This window comes from Homo sapiens, chromosome 11 (genome assembly GCF_000001405.40).
Source record: "Homo sapiens chromosome 11, GRCh38.p14 Primary Assembly".
In the NCBI taxonomy this organism is placed as follows: Eukaryota; Metazoa; Chordata; class Mammalia; order Primates; family Hominidae; genus Homo; species Homo sapiens.
The window spans coordinates 37,492,190-37,500,806 of NC_000011.10; positions in this window are offsets into that span (position 1 = coordinate 37,492,190).

An 8,617-nucleotide genomic window follows, 5' to 3' on the forward strand; every position below is an offset into this window, starting at 1 on the left:
TTTCTTTGTTAGCTGTTAGTAATATTTCATTGTATGTATGTACCACATTTTCTTTATTCATTCACCCATTGATAGACATTTAGGTTACTTCCAGGGCCTGGATGTTGTAAATAATGTTGCAAAAAAACAAGAAACTGCAGATATCTCTTCAAAATACTGATTTCTTTTTTTCTTTTTTTTTAATTATACTTTAAGTTTTAGGGTACATGTGCACATTGTTCAGGTTAGTTACATATGTATACATGTGCCATGCTGGTGCGCTGCACCCACTAACTCGTCATCTAGCATTAGGTATATCTCCCGATGCTATCCCTCCCCCCTCCCCCCACCCCACAACAGTCCCCAGAGTGTGATGTTCCCCTTCCTGTGTCCATGTGATCCCATTGTTCAGTTCCCACGTATGAGTGAGAATATGCGGTGTTTGGTTTTTTGTTCTTGCGATAGTTTACTGAGAATGATGATTTCCAATTTCATCCATGTCCCTACAAAGGACATGAACTCATCATTTTTTATGGCTGCATAATATTCCATGGTGTATATGTGCCACATTTTCTTAATCCAGTCTATCATTGTTGGACATTTGGGTTGGTTCCAAGTCTTTGCTATTGTGAATAATGCCACAATAAACATACGTGTGCATGTGTCTTTATAGCAGCATGATTTATAATCCTTTGGGTATATACCCAGTAATGGGATGGCTGGGTTAAATGGTATTTCCAGTTCTAGATCCCTGAGGAATCGCCACACTGACTTCCACAATGGTTGAACTAGTTTACAGTCCCACCAACAGTGTAAAAGTGTTCCTATTTCTCCACATCCTCTCCAGCACCTGTTGTTTCCTGACTTTTTAATGATTGCCATTCTAACTGGTGTGAGATGGTATCTCATTGTGGTTTTGATTTGCATTTATCTGATGGCCAGTGATGATGAGCATTTTTTCATGTGTTTTTTGGCTGCATAAATGTCTTCTTTTGAGAAGTGTCTGTTCATGTCCTTCGCCCACTTTTTGATGGGGTTGTTTGTTTTTTCTTGTAAATTTGTTTGAGTTCTTTGTAGATTCTGGATATTAGCCCTTTGTCAGATGAGTAGGTTGCGAAAATTTTCTCCCATTTTGTAGGTTGCCTGTTCACTCTGATGGTAGTTTCTTTTGCTGTGCAGAAGCGCTTTAGTTTAATGAGATCCCATTTGTCAATTTTGGCTTTTGTTGCCATTGCTTTTGGTGTTTTAGACATGAAGTCCTTGCCCATGCCTATGTCCTGAATGGTAATGCCTAGGTTTTCTTCCAGGGTTTTTATGATTTTAGGTCTAACGTTTAAGTCTTTAATCCATCTTGAATTAGGCAGGAGAAGGAAATAAAGGGTATTCAATTAGGAAAAGAGGAAGTCAAATTGTCCCTGTTTGCAGACGACATGATTGTATATCTAGAAAACCCCATTGTCTCAGCCCAAAATCTCCTTAAGCTGATAAGCAACTTCAACAAAGTCTCAGGATACAAAATCAATGTACAAAAATCACAAGCATTCTTATACATCAACAACAGACAAACAGAGAGCCAAATCATGAGTGAACTCCCATTCACAATTGCTTACAAAGAGAATAAAATACCTAGGAATCCAACTTACAAGGGATGTGAAGGACCTCTTCAAGGAGAACTACAAACCACTGCTCAAGGAAATAAAAGAGGATACAAACAAATGGAAGAACATTCCATGCTCATGGACAGAAAGAATCAATATCATGAAAATGGCCATACTGCCCAAGGTAATTTACAGATTCAATGCCATCCCCATCAAGCTACCAATGACTTTCTTCACAGAATTGGAAAAAACTACTTTAAAGTTCATATGGAACCAAAAAAGAGCCCGCATCACCAAGTCAATCCTAAGCCAAAAGAACAAAGCTGGAGGCATCACACTACCTGACTTCAAACTATACTACAAGTCTACAGTAACCAAAACAGCATGGTACTGGTACCAAAACAGAGATATAGATCAATGGAACAGAACAGAGCCCTCAGAAATAACGCCGCATATCTACAACTATCTGATCTTTGACAAACCTGAGAAAAACAAGCAATGGGGAAAGGATTCCCTATTTAATAAATGGTGCTGGGAAAACTGGCTAGCCATATGTAGAAAGCTGAAACTGGATCCCTTCCTTACACCTTATACAAAATACTGATTTCAAAACAAAAGAAATCTTACCATCTGCAACAACATGGAAGAACTTGAAGGGCATTATGCTAAGTAAAATAAGGCAGAAACAGAAAAGGACAAATACTACATGATATTACTTATGTGATGACTCTGAAGCAGTGAAACTCAGAGGAGCAGAGAGTGGAATGGTGGTTGCCAGGAGATGGGGGAAGGGAAAATGGGGAGGTGTTAGTCAAATAATATGAAGTTTCAGTTTTACAAGATGAGTAGGTCCTAAATATCTACTGTACAACATAGTGCTTATGGTTAACAATGTTGTATTGTATACTTGGAAATATGCTAGGAGGTTGTATCTCATGTTACGTGTTATCACAGATAAATAATAATCATCATCATAAACAAGAAGGGGAAGGAAACTTTTGGAAGCAATAGATAGGTTGTTTATACATAGAATGTGGTGATGGTTTCATGGATGTATATTTATCTCCAAAACTCATCAAGTTATATACATGAAATATGTAAAACTTCTTGTTTGTCAGTAATACCGCAATACAGTGGTTTAGAAAATAAAACAAAGCAGAAAATAGCCACACCAAAATCTAATACCAGGTTCAAGGTAATAGGCCTTTGCTTTTTTGCCTGCCAAGCACTCATTCAGCCTTTCTTTGGTAATGCCACCACGTTTTTTTTCCTTGGGAAATGACATCTTGTGTAATGTAAGTCTAATTATTTTCATTGAGAAACAGTCAGAAAATGAAGCCAACACATAGAAAAGCAAAATTACAATAAAGTTTCCTGATATAAGCATTTTAGTACCTAGATTCAGTTCTAAGCTAGACTTTCCCTATGGACTTCATTGTATCAGCTGATTTATACAGGGTTTGTGTCACTTGAAAATGAAAGAGTCATTTCTAATAATCTATTATTTTGTGGACTGATGTGTCTTAATACCAATGAACTTCAAATTCCATCTGTTTCTTTGTTAACATCGCCATCATGTATTCTAATTTTTTTACTCACAATGTTTGTATACTTATTTCTGCTCACTCAAAACTTACACAGATATGCTCTATCATGGTCTCTCTAGCATCATTTCTTATCATGACCTTCCAGCTTTAACTCTCCCACTAATTACCTCAGTTTCTACTATTATATTTCTATATAATATAATATATATAGCATGAGAATGGTAATCAGGTGGCCACCACATATTTTGTTTCCTAGAAGGGTTATAGATTAGGTGTATAACCTATTGATTCTCTGTATTTGGGTAAAGTGACTAAACTTTGCTTTTCTACTAAGGGGATGGGCAGAATAGATTTACAATATGGTATAAAATTTAACTACCTAAAGGGATATTGGACAGAAAGTTCCCTATAAGGACAATGAGCACGGTAGGCAATACTATATTCAGGGTTAATATTGGTACATGGATTGAACATAGTAGATGCTCAATTAATGATTACTACTTATGGTTGTCTGTGCTTGTTATAAGAGGGGAATCTTTAGCTTTTACTAGAATGTATATAAATAATCAAGGTGATGGTACAGAGGTTTTCTTGTTGCTTTTTACTAGAGTTGATGCATTGTTCGAAGTGAATAACCAGTGATATAACCAAAATCACTATGTTTAACCCAGATTTTCCTTACTCTCAGCCCCAAATTCTCACTATTATCCTTCTACTAGTAGATATATGGCCAAGATTGTAGAAGAGTTAAAGGAAGCCATCAATTCACTAATGGGAAACCCTACATTTGCTGGACCACCCTTCCATGATAATAATGCTCATAAAGAATTTCCATATGTATCAGCTTATCTGATTTAATATTGCAAAGTTTTGAAATTTTTGTTTCATCCCTTATTTAATACCTGAGAGAATTTTATTTTGCAGAATTTCTATGATTTTTAAGTCCGTATCTTACAGTTTGGCTAATCTACTCTGCTTGTTTATTCTTCTTTTTGTAAATATAAACTAAGCAAAATCTCAATGCCTAGGTCAGGGATTCTAGGCATGATCCTTCTTTAGTTCATTACCCATAACACACATAACTGATGACTCACACTGATACAGCTTTTCCTGGATGCCATCATAAAATATACTGTATTTTACTTTAATATTCAGACTTCTGAATGCAGTAGGAGTTACAAAGTCACTAATTTTCACAGCCTGGAAAATATTTTTGTTAGTCATCAATTAATCACTATAAAGTATTAGTTGATCCTCTAGGATACATTTCTGTTCTGATTTGTAAAATTTTAAGAATATGTTATATAGCTGGAGGTAAAGGAGGGCTAAATTATAACTCAAATGCCAAGTAGACACTTTAGCCTTTGCTTGCAAAATGAACTTATGTCTCCTTATATTTATTACTGACAGCTATATTTTACGATGGAGTTGAATCACATAATAGACATCAGTCATTTGTTCCTTACTGATGGGAAGAGAGCCTTATGTCTAACACCCAAATTCTTTGCGTGGCATTTTGCAGAAGATGATAAAAGCAGTAATTGTCCTTTTCAAATAGTGAAACATCAAATTTCACTGTAATCTCTAGTATTCTTGAAAGTGCTTCTATGACAGAAGAATGAATAATAGAGGTATTTAGATTTTGAGGAAGATAAATACATGAGGATTAGTGGCTTAAAGATGTAAAATAATAAATACATTGCTAGATAGACTTGGCCCCTGAACCAGATGATACAGACACATTTGGTAAGTTATACAGAACCATATGGAGCAACCATTTTTCTTAAGCTATTTAGCCCTAAGTGGCTTCAAATAAGAGAGCAATTCCTAACATTTGTTAACACAAGAGGGTATGTAATCAGAGAGGTACAATGTAAAAGAAGTCACATTTGCTCCCAAGGGAACATGCAGGTTCTCAAGCGGCAGAAGAGAGAGGTTCCGTCCATGTAGAAATAAAGTTGACTTTTCAGTATATAGAATGAATGATACATAAATTCTACAGAGAGACATATAAGTATAAGAAAGAAAGAAAAAGAAAGAAGAAAAAAAGGAAGGAAAGAGAGAGAAAGAAAGAAAGGAAGAAAGAAAAAAGAAAGAGAAAGAAAAGGAAAGGAAGGGAAGGGAAGGGAAGGAAGGGCAGGGCAGGGCAGGGCAGGGCAGGGCAGGGCAGGGCCTACAGGAGTGTGCTTACTTTCCTAGCACATGTGAAGAGAAGAGAGCACCAGAGAAAGGCATAGTTTCTTTCATGTTTAAGACCTTTCAAAAGAAGAGTGACCCTACCTTCCAGCAAACGTGGCCTCATCAGATCTGAAATTGAGTAACACAAGCTCATATTCTGTCCTTTGGTGATGATATAGAGGAAGGTGGAGACAGTGATAGAGATTGCTTCCTTATCTTCAAATGGACAGTATAAAAAATAACACATTACTAATACAACTCTGGAACTTTTCAAGTAAAAGGTATATTGCCTTTTGGTATGAATTTCTAGCTTTGTAACTGTGGAAAGAAATCAAGAGGTGTTAAAAGTCACCCACTACCTCTATACTTTTAGGTTTGTGTGCATGCAAAGGGTGTGTGTATCTCAATAAAATTAGTGATCATATTTCTACATACTAGCAAAAATTAGACTCTCACAGAATTACCATACTCTGAAAAGATTATTTTTTAAAAGAATTAGGTATTACAGTTTTTCCATTTGTTTTTGTATGTAAGAAAGTCTTATACTGGCAAAAACATGAAAAGATTTATGAAGAATGCTATTAATTGAAGAATGACTTGTAATACTAAATGCCTGAAAATAATCCCAAATATCTATTCATAGGGACCTTGTTAAATAAAAAAATAGCTCATAGATGCAATAAAGAACCATGTAGCTGCAATGAAAGGAATAAAAGATAGCTCTATGTACTAATACGTAATGATTGGCAGGAAATGTTGTTAAATAAAGTAAGGAAGAGAAAGCTTCGTATGTTAGCCCATATTTTTATCCAAGAATGAAGAAAATTAACAGATATATGTATTTATTTATATACCTTAGTAGAAAGATAATAAAGCAAATAAAGTAATAAAATGAAGTAATAGAGTAATAAAGTAAATAAGGGAAAAAGATAATAAAAATAAATAAAGTCATAAAAATTGTTACCTAAAGGGGAAACAAAAAAAATTGAGAGCAGACAGGGATACAGATTATTTTTTAGTATGTCTAGTTTTTTATGTTTTACTTGAGACCCTGTGAAATTTTTTATTACTGTAAAATTAACTTACATTAAAACTGAAAGTTAGCTGAAACAAATGAAAGTGAATATGCAGTTGGTAGAATAAAACACAAATAAAAAAATTATCAGCCAATGAACAGTTTCTTACTATCCAAAATTGGAATGGTTTTTGAATCAATTAGGATAATAATTGAAATTAATTGAAATACATTTGATATTCTGTTTCATGTGTGAGTACAGAAGATGTGAAAGTAGCCATGAACTGATAATTTTAAAAGTTAGATAATGAGAACATTGTGTTTCAAAGTACCATTCTCTTTACATTTTTATATGTTTGAAATTTTCTATAAATAAAGCCCTAAAAAAGACAATTTACATACCCATAGAAAAACCAAGGCTAATTTACATCATGGCGTTGCATTACAGAACACTGTGTATATTAACCATAAGTGATTTATCTCACCTAAACAGAAGTGGAAGAGAGGATAAAATGATCTGCCAAGCAGATTTCTTCTCTATTTTGTTTCCACAAATCATAACAAGAGATAAACTATTACATTAGACTATTTACGATGCTAAAATTGTTCTATTTCCAAACTCAGAAATGCAAAGCATAACTTGAGCTGCAGCGCATATGCTTATGAAAGAATAGTCAAGAAGTAGCAAAGTGCTTTCTTGAGGCTGTGCAGTGAGTTGATTAAGAAGATGGACTGTAGAGTTACACTAGCCAATATGGTAGCCACTGGGCACAAAATACTGTTTAAATTAAAATTAATTAAAATTCAATACAATCAGAAGTTTTATCTCTTCATTCACACTAGCTATATTTCGAGCTACATTGTCACATGTGGGTAATGTTTACTTTATTGAACAGTGCTGATATAAATTTTCTATCATCACAGAAATTTCTACTGACCAGAACTTACCCAGAGGGAGTCTCCCTGTTTTAAAATCCCAGCTCTACTCATTATTGACTATATCAACTTTCTGATCTTTAGTATTATGTTTTTTGTTTGTTTGTTTTGTTTTGTTTTGTTTTGAGACAGAGTTTCGCTTTTTTTGCCCAGGCGGGAGTGCAGTGGCGCTATCTCGGCTCACCGCAACCTCCACCTCCCGGGTTCAAGCAATTCTCCTCCCTCAGCCTCCCAAGTAGCTGAGTTACAGGCACGCACCACCAGGCCCGGCTAATTTTGTATTTTTTAGTAGAGTTGGGGTTTCACTATGCTGGCCAGGCTGGTCTCGAACTCCCGACCTCAAGTGATCCACCCGCCTTGGCCTCTCAAAGTGCTAGGATTATAGGCATGAGCCACTGCACCCAGCCCGGTTTCCCAATTTTTACAAAATGTTATTAAAAATAGTATAACTAACCTCTAGGATGGGAGCATGGATTTTAAAAGGCATTTAGAATGATATCTGTACAATGTGAACACTTAAGAAATATTGTTTCTTTGATATAAACCATCACCTGAAATAGCTATTAAATGGATTAGACAGTCTTGTCTCTAATTGCATTGCGCATGAAACGTTTTGCAATGAAGCATTCTGAGCATTGCTTAACTGATTTTAAAATGTTGACAAACTCAGACAGAGCTCTAAATACAGATTTAAAAACTTGACAAAATCCACAAATTGCTTTTCACAGATTCTCATCATACATTGCTTTGCCTAGGTTTTATGATTGAAACTGTCTGTGTAGTATTTAGACAACAAATTCTTTCTGTTTAGAGAATCTGAGAGATATTTAATCAGTGTGGTAAGCAGAACAATGGGTGCCCAGAGATATTCATGCTGTAATCAATGGACTTTGTGATTATGTCATAAGGCAAATATATAATCAAGGTAAGGTAATATAATCAAGATAATAGAAAATTCCATATATATACTTATCAAATTCCATATATATATATTTGCCTTATGACATGTATACATATATATGTGTATATATACACACACACACACACACACACACACATATGCATGCAGAAGCAATTAAACTTACAGAGTTTAAAATAGGGGGATTGCCCTAGGTTATTTGGATGAGCTCATTGCAGTAATGTGTGCCCTTAAAGGTGGAAGACAGGAACAGATGAGTCAGTCAGTGAGATAAGATGAAGGTAGAGTCAGCAAGATTTGAACCGTGAAAGGAGTTAGATTAGCTGTTGCTGGCTTTGCAGACAGGGAAAGGAGACACCAATCAAGGCATGTATAAGGCCTCTTAAGGCTGGATGTGGCTCTCAGTTGAGAGCCGGCAAGAAAACAGGGATCTTAATTCTGCTGC